Below are 16,980 nucleotides of genomic sequence, written 5' to 3' on the forward strand. Positions count from 1 at the left end.
GGGCCCGCCCACTTCCCGACAGGCCGCGCGCGTCACCTCAGCCTTCGCTCAGGCCTTTCCTACCCTCAACGCCGTTCCGGGGGGCCGGGCCTGGCAAGTCCTCTTGGAACGCCTCCCTCTTGCCTTCCCCTTTTGGGGACAGATCCCGAAGTTCGAGCATCCCTCGGATAGGCCGGGTGTCAGGCCTGGTCTCTCAGGCCCGTCCAGGTGGGCGTCTTTCACTGCAGACCTTCAGGGCCGGGATGCTGTGGCCATCCCTCGACTCCGCGCAACGTGGAGCTTTGGCCCCGTTTTTCTTGGCCTTTGCTTTTCGTTTTCACATGCACGGGCCCCGGCAGTGTGAGTCGCCCACGGCTCGCTGTGGTCAGCGAGCACGATGTCCACGTGCCCCCTCCCCAGAGCCATTCCTAAAGGAGGTCCCACCCAGTCAACCTCCCCGAGATTGTGGAGGGCGACTCGTCCCCGTACATTACAGCCTGGCCCCACCTTCTACCCGCCCACCCTGGTCCACTCTCCTCGCACCTCGGCTAGACACTGTGGCTCCTCAGCCTGGCGCTGGAACTCTGTGATGACTGTCTTTCTCCACCTCTTTAGCGTCATCTCCCAGCAGTCCCCTGCTGGACCCAACTGTTTGCAATTTCCAGGAAGCTCCCTGGACACCTTGCGTCCAAGCATTTGTCCCTGAGGCTTCCTCCTGCTCTCATTTGCCATCATTGTTTGGGTCCTGTGACCCTCCTCCTTCCATGAAGCTTTCTTGGCCTTATCTCTTCTGGCCTCAGAGTACACTTGGTCCTGGTCTCAGCCCCCTGGGCTGAGCCTGGTGTCTGCCTTCCCCTGGCCAGATTCTCTTGGCTGACATTCCGACCCTTCCTTTTCTGTAGGCCCATCTTGACGATTCCAAGACCACCCCCTTGAGCAAGAATGCCATCCCCTCTGGGTCCCCCATGCCTGCCCGTCATGGACCCAGAGACCACCCTTGAGGAGCCTGAGACTGCCCGCCTCCGCTTCCGAGGGTTCTGCTACCAGGAGGTGGCAGGTCCCCGAGAAGCCCTGGCCCGGCTGCGTGAGCTGTGTTGCCAGTGGCTGCAGCCTGAGGCACACTCCAAGGAGCAGATGCTGGAGATGCTGGTGCTGGAGCAGTTCCTGGGCACACTGCCTCCCGAGATCCAGGCCTGGGTGCGCGGTCAGCGGCCAGGCAGTCCTGAGGAGGCCGCTGCCCTAGTCGAAGGACTGCAGCATGACCCTGGGCAACTGTTGGGCTGGGTGAGTGTGGCTGGCATCAGCTTCTTGGAGGGATAGACCCTGGCTAGAGCCATTGTGACCTACCTCTTCTCCTCAGATCACAGCCCATGTCCTGAAGCAGGAGGTGCTCCCTGCAGCCCAGAAGACAGAGGAACCACTTGGGAGCCCCCACCCCTCAGGGACAGTGGAGTCCCCTGGGGAAGGTCCCCAGGACACCAGAATAGAGGGGTCTGTCCAGCTCAGCTGCAGTGTGAAGGAGGAGCCCAATGTCGATGGACAGGAAGTGGGTGAGGTTGGGGTCCCACCAGAGATGAGGGACTCCTGGAGGAAGTGTGGACATTCCTGGCTAGGGTGGGAGTCCCAGGAGAGGTGTGTCAAGGCTGGGACTCCTGAAGTGAATGTGGATGTCCCTGTCTGGGATGGGGACCTGGGAGGCAGGAGCCAAGGGCTGGCTACGTGCCATGTCACACAGCAGAGGAGCTCCTCATCTGCCATGGCTCATGTGGGCAGCCCCTGACACCACCCTTCCATCTGCCCCACTTTTCAGCACCCTCCAGCCCTCCACTTGCAGCACAGTCCCCTGAGGGGAACCATGGACACCAAGAACCAGCCTCCACATCCTTCCACCCACCCAGGATTCAGGTGAGCAGCCCCAAGTGGGAAGTATAGGCCCCAGGTGTGAGAAGGGACTGTCCCCATGGCTGCCCTCTGCCTGGTGGTTTTCCAGGCTCCTTGACTAGTGGCTCTTTGCTTCCCAGAAGTGGAGTCTGTAAAAGCTGTACCCCTCCACAGGACCTGGGGCAGAGGGACAGACTGGTGATCTATTATTGAAAAGGATTTGGGGCTGGACATGGTGGCTTACACCTGTAATCCTAGCACTTTGGGAGGCTGAGGTGAGCGGATCACCTGAGGTCAGGAGCTCGAGACCAGCCTGACCAATGTGGTGAAACCCTGTATCTACTAAAGATACAAAAATTAGCCAGAAGTGGTGGCAGGCGCCTGTAATCCCAGCTACTAGGGAGGGTGAGGCAGGACAATTGCTTGAACCCAGGAGGCAGAGGATGCAGTGAGCCGAGATTGTGCCACTGCGCTCCAGCCTGGTCAACAAGAGCAAAATTGTGTGTCAAAAACAAAAAAAAAAAAAAGGATTTGGGCCTCAAGCCATGGAAACCCAGTTTAGAGTGGCTGGAACTAGTGGGCTTGGCTTCCTCACCTCCAGAGAAGTCAGCTGGGAGGTTTGCTGCTCCCAGAGGTCCTGAGCCAGACCTGGGGATTTGAACTTTTGTGTGTAGCTGGGGAGGGGAGAAGATGACCAGCTGTGGCAGGACTCCCCCCACACCTGAGACCAGATGGAGACACTCTCCCTGGGAAATGCCCGAAGTCCCTTCTCTCCTAGGGGTTTCTTCAGAGGCCACCTGTTAGGCCTGGAAGCTCAGCTTGAGGCCTCTTCTACCTGGATCGCTTGGTTCCCAAGTGTGGGTAGCAAGGTCTTTTCCTCTCCCGGCTCCTCTAACAACTCCACTGGGGAGCTTCAGCAGCAACATTGCTGGTTGAGATGTGTTTCGAGGCTAAGAAGTCCTTCCAGGCTCCCTCCACAGCCCCATGGCACAGTCAGAAAGTGAGGCAGGGTGGGTAGGCTGCACTTCCCAGTGTCCTCACCTCCAGCCAGCACCATCTCTAGCTGTGGCTCCTCACAGCTGCCGCCTTCCTGCCCCTGGACTTGCCACAGCTTGTCCCTCAGGATTATTTTTCCCAACCCAGCAAAGCCCCAGATGATGGGACTCAGGCAGCAAGGAGGGCTGACCCCCAATCAGGGAGTTCATTCCTCGATAAAGTCACTCAGGTCCCTGTGATGCTGCCAAACCTGCCCTCTGAGCAGGATGGTGTAGTAGAGGGGGATGAGTGCTGGCAGCAGCACTGGTCAGGTGATCTGAAGGAGAACCTCTGCACTTAACAAACACACACCTTGAGATCATTCTCAGCAGGAGGGGCAGATGAGGCGTAGGTAACCTGCTGACTCTTCCGGGTAATAGGTAAGAATGTGAACCAGACAGGGCAGGGAAGGGGTGGAAAGACGCCTACAGTGATGGGCCACATCCGCAGGAGGAGTGGGGGCTGCTGGACCGGTCACAGAAGGAACTGTACTGGGATGCGATGCTGGAGAAGTACGGCACAGTGGTCTCCCTGGGTGAGGACCAGCCAGCCCCACCCCGCCCCTCTCCCTGGGGCCTGCACCCACCCTGCAGCAGGCCTAGCTGGGCAGGGCCTCTGTGCTACCAGCCCTACCCAGCTCTCCCACCTTCCAGAGGAACACCCTGTCACCTACCAGAACCGACCCCACCCCTCCTTCATGCAAACCCCATGCCTAACTGTGCCCCCCACCCGGGCAGGGTTACCGCCCCACCAGCCAGAGGCACAGGCCCAGTCAGAGCTGGGGATGCTGCTCACGGGGACAGGCGTCTGCAGAAGCCTGCGCTCGGGTGAGTGCCCCACACCATCCAGCCTGAATCACCCCTCCTGTATCGGTGGGACCTGAGCCACCCACTCATGGGGGGACGGGAGCTTGTGCCACGGCCACAAGCCTGAGGGAGGGGTTGCTGAGTGCCGGGACTCACCTGGTTTGCCCCTGCCCCCAGGAAATGAGAGTGAGGGTCCACCTGGCTGCCCAGAGGCCCAGCCGCCCCAGGGCCCAGGGCCGGCAGCCTGGGAGGGCTTGTCTGGGGCTGCCACTCCTGCCCCCACTGTGCGCCCAGGGACACCGCCAGTGCCCACTCAGCCCACACCTGCAGAGACGAGACTGGAGCCGGCTGCCACCCCCAGGAAGCCCTACACGTGCGAGCAGTGTGGCCGCGGCTTCGACTGGAAGTCAGTGTTCGTCATCCACCACCGGACACACACGAGTGGGCCAGGTGTGCAGTCCCCGGGGCTAGCCACCGGGGAAAGCACAGAGAAGCCACCACAAGGGGAGGTGGCCTTTCCGCACCACCCCCGACGCTCACTCACAGGCCCCCGGAGTTACCCGTGTGAGGAGTGCGGGTGCAGCTTCAGCTGGAAGTCGCAGCTGGTCATCCACCGCAAGAGCCACACAGGCCAGCGGCGTCACTTCTGCAGTGACTGTGGCCGCGCCTTCGACTGGAAGTCGCAGCTGGTCATCCACCGCAAGGGCCACCGGCCGGAGGTTCCATGAGCAGCCAGACAGCACAGTCCCTCGGGGCCTCGGTGTTCTCGGGGCCTGGATACAGCCTCTGGGGCACCAGCAGAAGACTCTGGAGGCAGCAGGGGATGCCAGAGTGAACAAGGGGTCCCAAGCCAGTTCCCTGCCCCTGGTCTGGTCTCCCCCAAAAGACCTGGGTGCAAGGAAAAGGAGCTGCTCTCTCTCTTCTTGCCCCTGCCTCCTAGAGGGAGGTCTGGGTTCCCTTCTATGGCTGACCAGTGCCTGTGGGGTGACTGCCAAGCACCAGGCTCCCTCCCTCCCTGTGACATGGCCTGGGCTGACAACACTCCCTCTCCTGGGACCTCCTTGCCTCAGGTGGGTGTTCAAAAACTGTGCCTTCCCACTCGTCTGTGCAGAGGCTGGGCCTGAGGTCTCAGTGTGGAGAGCAGCAGAAGACCCAGGAAAGCACAGTTGGCTTCCGTTTCTCCTGCTCCCTGTGTGTGTTAGAATTTTAACATAAATTCCACTTTCATAATATGGAGTTTCTGAATAAGAATCCTGATTTCTGGCTTCTGCTGGTCGGGAAATAGGCAGTTTGCTGTCTCTGCCCAGTAGCTGCAGCACAGGGCAGTTGAGCCCAGAACGGCCAAACCTCTGTTGCCACAGAACCCAGGTCCCAGGTCCCCAGCCTCCCTTGCTCCTTGCCGCCCACATCACTCACCAGCCTCACTGGCCTTGGAACTCATCAGTCCCGGCTTGAGAGACACAAAGGGGATTTCCTTTCGAAGTACGGCTGGACAAGGGGGACCTCTGAGAAGAGGGGCTGCAAGCAGGGGTTGCGCCAAGGCCATGGGTACTTCTAGGTCAGGCCGCACCCTCCATAGTTAGCTGGTCATGCAGCAGGAAGGCAAAAGGTCAGCTCCCTGGGAAGCACCGGATCTCTGGGCAGTCACTGGGGACTCGCCAATGCACTGTATTAGTTTTCTGTTGCTGCTTTAACAAACTTGGCAGCTTGAAACAACAGATTCTCTTATAGCTCTGAAGGTCAGAACTCTGACATGGGTCCCACTGGGCTAAAATCAAGGTTTTGTTTTGTTTTGTTTTGTTTTGTTTTGTCTGAGATGGAGTCTCGCTCAGTTGCCCAGGCTGCAGTGCGGTGGCACAATCTCGGCTCACTGCAAGCTCTGCCTCCCGGGTTCACGCCATTCTCCTGCCTCAACCTCCTGAGTAGCTGGGACTACAGACACCCGCCACCACGCCCGGCTAATTTTTTTGCATTTTTAGTAGAGACGGGGTTTCACCGTGTTAGCCAGGATGGTCTCGATCTCCTGACCTCGTGATCCACCCACCTCGGCCTCCCAAAGTGCTGGGATTACAGGCGTGAGCCACCGCGCCCGGCCAAAATCAAGGTTTTAACAGGACTGGTTCCTCTTGAAGGCTCTAGGAGAGAATAATCCATTTTGTTGCCTTTTCCAGCTTCTAGAGTCAGCCCACGTTCCCCCTTTTTTTTTTCTTGGTCCATTCCTCCGTCTTCAAAGCCAGCCATGGTTGGTCACGTCTTCCTTAGGCTGCCAGCTCTCTGACACCCATCGATCCTTTGGCCTCCTTAAGGACCCTCATCATATCTTGTCCCCTACCTGCACACTTAGTCACACCGCAGAGTCCCTTTTGCCAATTGAGATGTTCACAGCTTCTGGGGATTGGAATGGGGACTCCTTGGGGGCCTTGATTCAGCACTCTTCTCCTTCCTACTCTGAAAACAAGGGGCATTTTCACAGGGGATGGTTTCAGGAAATGGGTGCCCTCTCGGAAGGAGCCCTCGCCAGCTGCTGGTATGTGCAGCATGTGCACAAGTCGCAGGTGGATGTTGAGGGTAGCTGCGACTGTGGTTACCCCAGGAGGGGCTCCCTGGGAGGGGCAGGAACCCTGCTGCGGCCTGAAGCTGGGAGAGGGAGGCTCTCCTCAGAGGCCCATCTTCCCCATCCCCTTTTATGAGGGCCTTCTAACCCGTTGCTCCCATGTGCAGGGCTCCGGAAGCAGGGCCAGTTTGGAGATGGAGCTGGGGGTGGGTGATCTGTGAGCAAGCAGGAGGCGAGAGCTGTGCTGGGGACAGAGAAGAAGAAGACAGAGCAGTACCCAGGGGCTCCAGCTAGGCCCCAGCCCAGAAGGGAGAGTCAGGGTATAGAAGGCTGTGAAAGGGCCAGATCATGCAAGAAAAGCTGCAGGGGGTGAGGGCAGTTTTTAAATAAACTTTTTCACATTTAGAAGCAATTTATGCTCACTTAGAAAAATTTGAAATACACAAGATGGCAAAGAAGATCATGAAAATGTTCCCTAATTCAACTGTCTCATGGCAATGCTTACTCCAGAAGTTTACATATAGAAGTGGTTGAATGTAAAGTTTCTTTTAAGGCAACTTATGTTGTTTCACTTTGGGAGACCACGAGTTCAAGACCAATCTGGGCAACATAGTGAGACCTTGTCTCCAAAAAAAAAAAAAAATTAAAAATAATAGTAGGCTGGGTGTGGTGGCTCATGCCTATATTCCCAGCACTTTGGGAGACCAAGGCAGGTGGACCACTTGGAGTTCGACACCAGCCTGGCCAACATGGTGAAACCTCAACTGTACTAAAAAAAATACAAAAATTAGCCAGGTATGGTGACATGCACCTGTAGTCCCAGTTACTTGGGAGGCTGAGGAATAAGAATCACTTGAACCCGGGAGGCAGAGCTGCAGTGGGCCAAGACGGCGCCACTGCACTGCAGCCTGGGTGACAAAGCGAGACCCTGTCTCAAAAATAATACTACTACTAATTAGCCAGGCATAGTGGCGCATACCTGTAGTCCCAGGGAGACTGAGGTGGGAGAATCACTTGAGCCCAGGAGGTTAAGGCTGCAGTGAGCTCTGATAACACCATTGCACTCCAGCCTGGGCAACAGGATGAGACCCTGTCTGGAAAAAAAAAATACGGAAATGGGAGACGGAAGGGTAGGTCAGAGAGAGGGATGATGGATGAAATAACTGCAAATATTCACAATAGGAGAGGGATGACCCCACCATATGGAATGCTTCACAAATTTGTGTTTACCCTTGCACAGGGGCCATTCTAATCATTCCAATTTTAGTGTATGTACTATAGAAGTGAGCGAGCAGTTAACTTTTTTCTTTTCATGCCTGGATGAATCTATTTTCTGGCTGGCACCATCATTTCTACCAAGACCAAAGAATTTCTTGTTCCCTCCTCACCCTGCAGTACCCAGTGCTATGATTAATTCTCTTGAGTAAACACTTGGATACTACTGTGGCTATTTCTGTAGTATAAATTTCTCAAAATGGGATTGGTGAGTTACAGGGAACATGAGATTTATTTTTGCCTTAAAACAGCAAAAACTTATTGTACAATTCTGGAGACCGGAAGTTAGACACCATCTCACCAAGCTAATACTAGAGTGTTGGCAATGGCTGGGCACAGTGGTTCACTCCTGTAATCCCAGCACTTTGAGAGGCTGAGGCAGGAGGATCACTTGAGGCCAAGACTTTGAGACCAGCCTGGGCAACAGAGTGAGACCCCATCTCTAAAAAAAAAAAAAAAAAAAAAAACACACAATTAAAAAAAATTTTTTTAGCTGGGTGTGGTAGTGCACACCTGTAGTCCCAGCTACTTGGAAGGCTGAGGCAGGAGGATCACTTGAGTCCAGGAGGTTGAGGCTACAGTGAGCCAAGATCTCACGACTGCACTCCAGCCTGGGCAACAGGGCGAGACTCCATCTCAAAAAAAAAAAAAAAAAGTGTTGGCAGGGCTGCATTCCTTCTGTAAACACTAGGGGGAAAATTGTTCTGTAGCTCATGGCCCCTTCCCCCATGTGGTGGCTCACACCTGTAAGCCCAGCACTTTGGGAGGCAAAGGCGGGCGGACTGCTTGAGCCCAAGAGTTCAAGACCAGCCTGGGCAACATAGCAAGACCATGTCTCTACTTTTTTTCGATAAAATTTTTTTTAAAAAATTTTAAAAACCAATCAGCCAATTTTCCCCAAGTTAATCTATAAAGTAAATGAAATGCAAATAAAATATACCACATTTCAGCCGGGTGCAGTGGTTCACTCCTGTAATTCCAGCACTTTGGGAGGCCAAGGCAGGGAGATTGCTTGAGCCCAGGAATTCAAGACCAGCTTGGGCAACATGGTGAAACTCCATCTCTAGTAAAAATACAAAAATTAGCCAGGTGTGGTGGTGCACGCCTGTTGTCCCAACTACTCGGGAGGCTGAGGCAGGAGGATCACCTGAGCCTTGGGAGGCAGAGGCTGCAGTGAGCCATGATCGTGCCAGCCGGAGCAACAGAGTGAGACCCTGTCTCAGAAAAATAAAAAGAAGCACATTTTATATGATCCAACAAAAAGATTCTAAAATGCATGTGGAAAAGTCCAAGAATTGCTAAGACAATTTGGAAAAAACGACAAGTAGGGAAGAATTGTCATATTGTAAATAAAAACACTGTTAAGTTATATAATATTAAAATAGTGTGGTGGCTGGGCACGGTGGCTCATGTGTATAATCCCAGCACTTTGGGAGGCCGAGGCGGGTGGATCACCTGAGGTTGGAGTTCAAGACTAGCCTGGCCAACATGGTGAAAGCCCGTCTCTACTAAAAATACAAAAAAAAAAAAAAATTAGCCGGGTATAGTGGCACACGCCTGTAATCCCAGCTACTCGGGAGGCTGAGACAAGAGAATCACTTGAACCCAGAAGGCAGAGATTGCAGTGAGCTGAGATCATGCCACTGCACTCCAGCCTGGGTGACAGAGTGAGACTCCATCTCAAAAAAATAAAATATTGTGGTATTGGCACAGGAGTGGACAACTAGGTCAATCTAGGAACAGACCTTTTGGAACTTGATATACATGAAATGACTCAACCAATCAGTGAAGACAGGGTGGATGTTCACTGAATATTGGAGAAAACTGAACTCCCCCATACAAAAGAAAACAGATTTCCACTTTACACACACTCAAAATTAAATTCCAGATTAAATACTAGGATATTTTTAATGATTTATTAAATTTTTTTTTGGTAGAGACAGGGTCTCAATATGTTGCTCAGCCTAGTGTCAAACTCCTAGCCTCAAGCAATCCTCCCTTCTCTACTTCTCAAATTGCTGGGATTACAGGCTGAGCCACCACACCCAGCCTGATATTTATTTTTAAATATCAGGAAAATGTAAAACTTTGTTTTGTTTTTGTTTGTTTTGAGACAGAGTCTCGCTCTGTCACCCGGGGTGAAGTGTAGTGTGAACATGGCTCACTGCAGCCTTGACCTCCTGGGCACAAGCAGTCCTCTCACCTCAGCCTCCTGAGTAGCTGGGACCACAGGCACATGCCACCACACTCAGCTAACTTTCTTTTTTTTTTTTTTTTTTTTTTTGAGATGGAGTCTTACTCTGTCACCCAGGCTGGAATGCAGTGGTGTGATCTCGGCTCACTGCAACCTCCGACTCATGGGTTCAAGTGATTCTCCTGCATCAGCCTCCCGATAGCTGAGACTACAGGCACGTGCCACCACGCCTGGCTACTTTTTGTATTTTTAGTAGATGGGGTTTCACCATGTTAGCCAGGATGGTCTCAATCTCCTGACCTCGTGATCCACCTCGGCCTCCCAAAGTGCTGGGATTGCAGGCATGACCCACCATTCCTGGCCCACACTCAGCTAACTTTCAGTTTTTGTTTGTTTGTTTTTTGAGACGAAGTCTCGCTCTTATTCCCCAAGCTGGAGTGCAATGGGGTAATCTCGGCTCACTGCAACCTCCGCCTCCTGGGTTCAAGCGATTCTCCTGCCTCAGCCTCCCGAGTAGCTGGGATTACAGGCCCCCGCCACCGCACCCGGCTAATTTTTGTATTTTTAGTAGAGGCGGGGTTTCACCATGTTGGCCAGGCTGGTCTCAAACTCCTGACCTCAGGTGATCCGCCCACCTCGGCCTCCCCAAAGTGCTGGGATTACAGGCGTGAGCCACCGCACCCAGCTTTTTTTTTTGGGGGGGGGCGGGGAGAGATGAGGTCTCGCCATGTTGCCCAGGCTGAAAGTAAAAATTTTATGACCTCAAGAGTTGAAAATGATTTCTTCTTTTTATTTTTTTGAGACGGAGTCTCACTCTGTCGCCCGGGCTAGAGTGCAGTGGTGCGATCTTGGCTCACTGCAAGCTCCGCCTCCTGGGTTCACGCCATTCTCCTGCCTCAGCCTCCTGAGTAGCTGGGACTACAGGTGCCCGCCACCACACCCAGCTAATTTTTGTATTTTAGTAGAGACGGGGTTTCACCGTGTTAGCCAGGATGGTCTGACCTTGTGATCCGTCCACCTCGGCCTCCCAAAGTGCTGGGATTACAGGCGTGAGCCACTGCGCCTGGCCGAAAATGATTTCTTAAATAATAACACAAAAAGTATACAGACCCCTAAAACCCTGCCAATAACAAGTATTGGTTAGGCAGCACAGAACAGGACCTGTGAATTTGATGAGTTATCACTCCTGTGATTTGATGATGTCATATGGCATAGTTGCCCTTGTTTTGTTTTGCTTTGTTTTGTTGAGACAGGGTCTCATTTGTTGCCCAGGCTGCAGTGCAGTGGTGAAACCATAGGTCACTGCAACCCGGAACTCCTAGTCTCGAGCAATCTGTCCATCTCTGCCTCACGACTAAAGAAACAACTGGCAAGTTTAATAAATCGAACTTAAATCTCTGAAAAGACACTGTAAACATAAATAAAAGATAAGCAAAATATTGGAGGAAAACATAAACCAAAAAAACCCTCGACAAACCCAGAAGGTATTTTTAAACTCCAAATAAGTCCAGGCGCGGTGGCTCACGCCTGTAATCCCAGCACTTTGGGAGGTCGAGGCAGGGGGATCACTTGAGGTCAGGAGTTCAAGACCAGCCTGGCCAACATGGTAAAACCCCGTCTCTACTAAAAATATAAAAATTAGCCAGCCGTGATGGTGGGCGCCTGTAATCCCAGCTACTCAGGAGGCTGAGACAGGAGAATCTCATCAACCCAGGAGGTGGAGGTTGCAGTGAGCCGAGATCACGCCACTGTACTCCAGCCTGGGCAACAGAGCAAGACTCTATCTCAAAAAACAAATTAACTACAAATAAATATGAATAGGACTAAAATATGATAGAAACATGGAGAAAGGCCATAAGGCAGGAATACACATCAGAAGAAACTAGGCTGATAGACCAGAAAGAAAATATGCTTAGCATTACATGCCTAGCAGTAATCAGAGAAACCCCAGCACTGTGAGGACAGGGCTTCACCTGCCTTGCTCATGGCCACACACCCTGTTCATGGCACTGTGAGGGCAGGACTTCACCTGCCTTGCCCGTGACCACACACCCTGTTCATGGCACTGTGAGGGCAGGACTTCACCTGCCTTGCCCGTGACCACACACCCTGTTCATGGCACTGTGAGGGCAGGACTTCACCTGCCTTGCCCGTGACCACACACCCTGTTCATGGCACTGTGAGGACAGGTCTTCACCTGCCTTGCTCGTGGCCACACACCCTGTTCATGGCACTGTGAGGACAGGGCTTCACCTGCCTTGCTCGTGGCCACACACCCTGTTCATGGCACTGTGAGGGCAGGGCTTCACCTGCCTTGCTCGTGGCCACACACCTTGTTCATGGCACTGTGAGGACAGGGCTTCACCTGCCTTGCTCGTGGCCACACACCCTGTTCATAGCACTGGTTGGTATTCGTAGCATTGTCAACAAACCAGATACACATCAATATAACGTGATGGATTTCTCAGCCTTCAAAATAGCAAGTTAAAAACCCTGCCAATTAAAAGAAAAGGCATAAACATGACTATGATAAAAAAAAAAAAAAAAAGGCTGGGTGCGGTGGCTCACACCTGTAATCCCAGCACTTTGGGAGGCCGAGGCAGGTGGATCATGAGGTCAGGAGATTGAGACCATCCTGGCTAACATGGTGGAACCCCGTCTCTACTAAAAATACAAAAAATTAGCCGAGCTTGGTAGCAGGCACCTGTAGTCCCAGCTACTTGGGAGGCTGAGGCAGGAGAATGGCGTGAACCCAGGAGGTGGAGCTTGCGGTGAGCCAAGATCACGCCACTGCACTCCAGCCTGGGTGACAGAGCAAGACTCCGTCAAAAAAAAAAAAAAAACAAAAAAATACAAAGTGCCAATAGCAGGTATTGGTGAGGAAATGAATACCAGGACCTGTGCATATGATGAGCTACTGAAACTGCCTTTGCAAAATTATGACTAAGACAGTGAAAGAGATCTGACTAAATCAATTCCATCTTGCTTCTAACCTCTAAGCTGTCCTAGTTCATTCTTGGGCATAGGCTGAAGTAACTTTGAGAGAAACTTATAGTTCATAACCTTATGGTTTATAGTTTAAAACACAGAGGATAACAGCCCTTTCCCAAAGCAGACCTCCTTCTTGCCTGGGGACCAGATGGCCTTTGTAGGACTAACATTAGCCCCAAGATTAGAAACTCTGGTTTAGGAGTCACGCAGCTGGAGGCTAGAAGATTCTGACCCTCCCTCAACTGCTCCTAAGATCAGCGCTTGGGATATTTTGCAGACTCTGCACTTGATGGATCAGCTGGCCCCACCCAGATCCATAAAATGGCTCATCTGATCTTGTGGCCCCCAGGAACTGACTCCGCGCAAGACGACAGCTTCGACTCTGTATGATCTCATCCCTGACCAATCAGCACTCCTGGCTCACTGGCTTCCCCCAACCCACCAAGTTGTCCTTAAAAACTCTGCTCCCTGAATGCTCAGGGAGACTGATCTGAGTGATAACAAAACCCTTGTCTCCCGCACAGCTGGCTCTGCGTGAATTACCCTTTCTCTACTGTAATTCCCCCGTCTTGAGAAATCAGCTGTGTCCAGGCAGCAGGAAAGGTGAACCCACTGGGCAGTTACGCTACCAATCCTGTGATATGATTGTGTCACATGGCATGGTTGCCCTTTTTTCTTTTTGACAGTCTTGCTGTCACTCAAACTGGAGTGTGGTGGCGCGATCTCGGCTGACTGCAACCTCCGCCTCCCAGGTTCAAGCAATTCTTGTGCCTCAGCCTCCCAAGAAGCTGGAGTACAGGCCCACGCCACCACGCCTGGCTAATTTTTGTATTTTTAGCAGAGGTGGGGTTTCACCATGTTGGCCAGGCTGGTCTTGAACTCCTGGCCTTGGCCTCTCAAAGTGCTGGGATTACAGGCATGAGCCACCGCACCAGCCGTAGTTTTGTTTTCTTGAGACAATCTCACTCTGTCACCCAGGCTGGAGCAAAGTGGTAGAGTCATAGCTCCCTGCAACCTAGAACTCCTGGGCTCAAGTGACCCTCCCACTTCAGCCTCCCCAGTAGCTAGGACAACAGGCACGTGCCACCAGACCTCGCCTTTTTTTTTTTTTTTTTTTTTTGAGACAGAGTCTTGCTGTGCTGTCCAGGATGGTCTCAAATTTCTGGCCTCAAGTCATCCTCCTGCCTCAGCCTTCCAAAGCTCTCAGATTATAGGCATGAGCCACCATACCTGGCCCCATAGTTGAACTTAAAATAGACTATATGATTATCTGGGGGTGTGGGGGGGCTGATCTAGCTACATGATCCCTTTTAAAACATGGAGCTCTTGGCGGGCATAGTGGCTCACACCTGTAATCCCAGCACTTTGAAAGGCCGAGGCAGTCGGATCACCCGAGGTGGTCGGATCACCCAAGATCTATAATTTGAGACCAGCCTGGCCAACAGGGCAAAAACTCATTTCCGCTAAAAATACAAAAATTAGCCGGGCATGGTGGCACGTGCCTGTAATCCCAGCTACTTGGGAGGCTGAGGCAGGAGAATTGCTTGAACCCGGGAGGCGGAAGTTGCAGTGAGCCGAGATCATGCCACTGCACCCTAGCCTGCGTGACAGAGCAAGACTCCATCTTGGAAAAAAAAAATACAAAAATTAGGCCAAGCGCAGTGGCTCACGCCTGTAATCCCAGCACTTTGGGAGGTCGAGGCGGGTGGATCACGAGGTCAGGAGATCGAGACCATCCTGGCCAACATGGTGAAACCCCATCTCTACTAAAAATAAAAAAATTAGCCAGGCGTGGTGGTGGACGCCTGCAATCCCAGCTACTCAGGAGGCTGAGGCAGGAGAATCGCTTGAACCTGGGAGGTGGAGGTTGCAGTGAGCTGAGATCATGCCACTGCACTCCATCCTGAGCAACAGAGCAAGACTCTGTCTCAAAAAAAGAGAAATGCCTATTTTTATTTTTTTTGAGACAGAGTCTTGCTGTGTCGCCCAGGCTGGAGTGCAGTGGCATGATCTTGGCTCAGCGCGACTTCCACCTCCCAGATTCAAGCAATTCTCCTGCCTCAGACTCCCAAGTAGCTGGGATTACAAGCACAGGCCACCACGCCCGGCTAATTTTTATATTTTTAGTAGAGATGGGGTTTTGCCCTGTTGGCCGGGCTGGTCTCAAACTCCTGGCCTCAAGGGATCTGTCTGCCTCACCTTACCAAAGTGTTGGGATTACAGGCGTGAGCCACCACTCCCGGCCCCATACATTTATTTTAAAGTAAATTTCCACATCTTGCAATAATAAAATAAACAGTATTTCAAGTCACCTTAAAATAGATAATGTCTACATTAATAGATGTTCATCCACACAGCCCCGTTTATCACCTGGAACCATACTTGAGAAGTCCTGCCTACCAGTGTCCATCACCAGCTCCATTCCTCTGTAGTTGGTGCCATCTGCAAGAATCGAGCCCCTTCCTGGGGTTTGCACAGGCTGCAGCCTCCTCCTACTACAGCAGATGCCAAAGGGCACTGGGCATGGTGTGGGGGTCAGTTCACTTTCACACAGGGCTTGTGTTTTCCGTGGTCTCGGCAACACCAACAGTGTCTGAACATGACTGCACAGACATTGGTGCCCGCCGCTGCTTGTGAGCTCCAAGACCATCTCTCCTTCTGTGGGTGCCCCACTTATCTCACTTTTTGACCCCTCCCCAGGTCTCTGGAACCCTCTCTTCAGTCTTGACTTCCTGCTGGCCTGTCTGGACCAGGTCTGTCAGTCCTACTCCCCAGCACCAGATGGGCCCTAAGAATCCCCCTCCTGCCACACCTGCTATTTCCTCATATCCAGCCTCTCAGGCTACGATCACCACGCCACCCTTCCAGAAGGTTCCTTCCAACCGCCCTTCCGAAAAGGCCCTCTCCATGGCCCTCTTGTCAATGACTCACTCCCAGCATGGACAGCAGAGACGTGACCCACACCTCTAACCCATGAGGCTCTGCCCAGCCCTCCCTGGACATGTCAGAAAACAGAGAGACCCTAGTCACTGTGGGTCCAGAGGCAGGACCAGCAGCCACGTCCATGCCTTTTCAGAGCACCCTCACCAGGGTAAGGCAAGTTCTAGCAAGGCAGAGAGGGATCTGTGTGAGGAGGTACCTCTCATTACCACCACTGTTAATCATCATTGACTTATTCATTCATAGAGAAAAAGTCATCTTGAACCATCAAACCCGAGAGCATAATGTCGGATACGGAAAGTCGGTGGGAGAAGTCATCTGTCATTAGGGGTGGGAGCGGGGAACTTAACACGGGCATCCAGGAAAAGGCAGGATGAGAAGAAACCGTGGACTTGGTAAAGTCTGTAAGAAACGTCACCATCTGAGCCATCGCTACAGCATCTGCCTGTATTTCTCACATGCTTACATGAAAGGCATTATTTATTCACTTGGACAACAAAGGCTGCTTTTCGTGAGAGTCACTGGTCCTCCCATGAGGGCATCCACCGATACTTCAAGAATCCTTCCTGGGGCCGGGCACAGTGGCTCACGCCTGTAATCCCAGCACTCTGGGAGGCTAAGGGGGGGGCGGATCACGAGGTCAAGAGATCGAGACCATCCTGGGTAACACGGTGAAACCTCGTCTGTACTAAAAAATACAAAAAAAAAAAAATTAGCCAGGCGTGGTGGCGGGCGCCTGTAGTCCCAGCTACTCAGGAGGCTGAGGCAGGAGAATGGCGTGAACCTGGGAGGCGGAGCTTGCAGTGAGCCGAGATTGCGCCACTGCACTCCAGCCTGGGAGACAGAGCTAGACTCCATCTCAAAAAAAAAAAAAAAAAAAAAAAAAAAGGAAGAAAGAAAGAAAGAAACAATCCTTCCTAGGACAGTGAATCACTCCTATAATCCCAGCACTTTGGGAAGCTGAAGCAAGACGATCGCTTAAGCCCAGGAGTTCGAGACCAGCCTGGGTAACACAGTAAGATCCCAACTCTACAAAAGAAAATATGTTTTTTTTAATTAGCAAGGCATGATGGTGCATGCCTGCAGCCCCAGCTACTGGGGGGGATCACTTGAGCCTAGGAGGTCAAGGGTGCAGTGAGCGATGATGGTGCCACTGCACTCCAGCCTGGGTGACAGAGCGAGACCCTATCTCAAAAAAGAAAAAAAAAAACAAAAAAACCAGTCCCCACACTAGCAGCCACCCATAAGAATATAAAGAAAGCATGGTGCCCTCCACCACCTTTTACTTCTATACCTAACCAGCAATTTTGGGGGGAAAAGACATA

The 16,980-nt window shown here is 52.4% G+C and overlaps 1 protein-coding gene, 1 long non-coding RNA gene and 2 pseudogenes across 3 annotated transcripts, besides 3 other annotated features; 2 read left to right on the forward strand and 2 right to left on the reverse strand.

Moving 5' to 3' along the window:
* Window positions 55-13,236, forward strand: ZNF446 (zinc finger protein 446). 2 transcript variants are annotated; one of them, NM_017908.4, is made up of 7 exons: window positions 55-207; window positions 882-1,263; window positions 1,340-1,529; window positions 1,790-1,884; window positions 3,346-3,430; window positions 3,633-3,722; window positions 3,879-4,933. In NM_017908.4, exons 2-7 carry the CDS (start codon window positions 922-924, stop codon window positions 4,427-4,429), a joined length of 1,353 nt encoding a protein of 450 aa, NP_060378.1. In that variant the 5' UTR covers window positions 55-207; window positions 882-921; the 3' UTR covers window positions 4,430-4,933. The 2 variants fall into 2 exon arrangements, with proteins under 2 accessions (NP_060378.1, NP_001291382.1); NM_001304453.1 differs by lacking the exons at window positions 55-207; window positions 3,879-4,933 and adding an exon at window positions 12,993-13,236.
* Window positions 114-313: an enhancer, noted in NCBI's record as "active region_15203". NCBI's record gives its function as "activates an Ori minimal core promoter by ATAC-STARR-seq in GM12878 lymphoblastoid cells {active_cell/tissue: GM12878}" and the evidence as "EXISTENCE:reporter gene assay evidence [ECO:0000049][PMID:35858748]".
* On the reverse strand, window positions 4,800-7,927 carry LOC112268251 (uncharacterized). The gene is made up of 3 exons (XR_007067366.1): window positions 7,235-7,927; window positions 5,118-6,149; window positions 4,800-4,890 (listed from the first exon to the last, which is right to left on the reverse strand). It is a non-coding gene; the product is annotated as an uncharacterized LOC112268251 (long non-coding RNA).
* On the reverse strand, window positions 7,452-7,546 carry RNU6-1337P (RNA, U6 small nuclear 1337, pseudogene; annotated as a pseudogene).
* Window positions 13,565-13,859: a silencer, noted in NCBI's record as "tiled region #4347; K562 Repressive DNase matched - State 5:Enh". NCBI's record gives its function as "represses a minimal TATA promoter and a strong SV40 promoter by Sharpr-MPRA in K562 cells {active_cell/tissue: K562}" and the evidence as "EXISTENCE:reporter gene assay evidence [ECO:0000049][PMID:27701403]".
* Window positions 13,669-13,728: an enhancer, noted in NCBI's record as "active region_15204". NCBI's record gives its function as "activates an Ori minimal core promoter by ATAC-STARR-seq in GM12878 lymphoblastoid cells {active_cell/tissue: GM12878}" and the evidence as "EXISTENCE:reporter gene assay evidence [ECO:0000049][PMID:35858748]".
* Window positions 14,500-14,778, forward strand: RN7SL693P (RNA, 7SL, cytoplasmic 693, pseudogene; annotated as a pseudogene).

This window comes from Homo sapiens, chromosome 19 (assembly GCF_000001405.40).
Source record: "Homo sapiens chromosome 19, GRCh38.p14 Primary Assembly".
In the NCBI taxonomy this organism is placed as follows: Eukaryota; Metazoa; Chordata; class Mammalia; order Primates; family Hominidae; genus Homo; species Homo sapiens.

Coding starts and splice junctions, on each gene's coding strand:
- ZNF446 (NM_017908.4), top strand. CDS start 922: ATGCCATCCCCTCTGGGTCCCCCATGCCTGCCCGTCATGGACCCAGAG. Junction 1,264..1,339: donor CTGGGCAACTGTTGGGCTGG/GTGAGTGTGGCT, acceptor TCTTCTCCTCAG/ATCACAGCCCATGTCCTGAA. Junction 1,885..3,345: donor TCCACCCACCCAGGATTCAG/GTGAGCAGCCCC, acceptor CCACATCCGCAG/GAGGAGTGGGGGCTGCTGGA.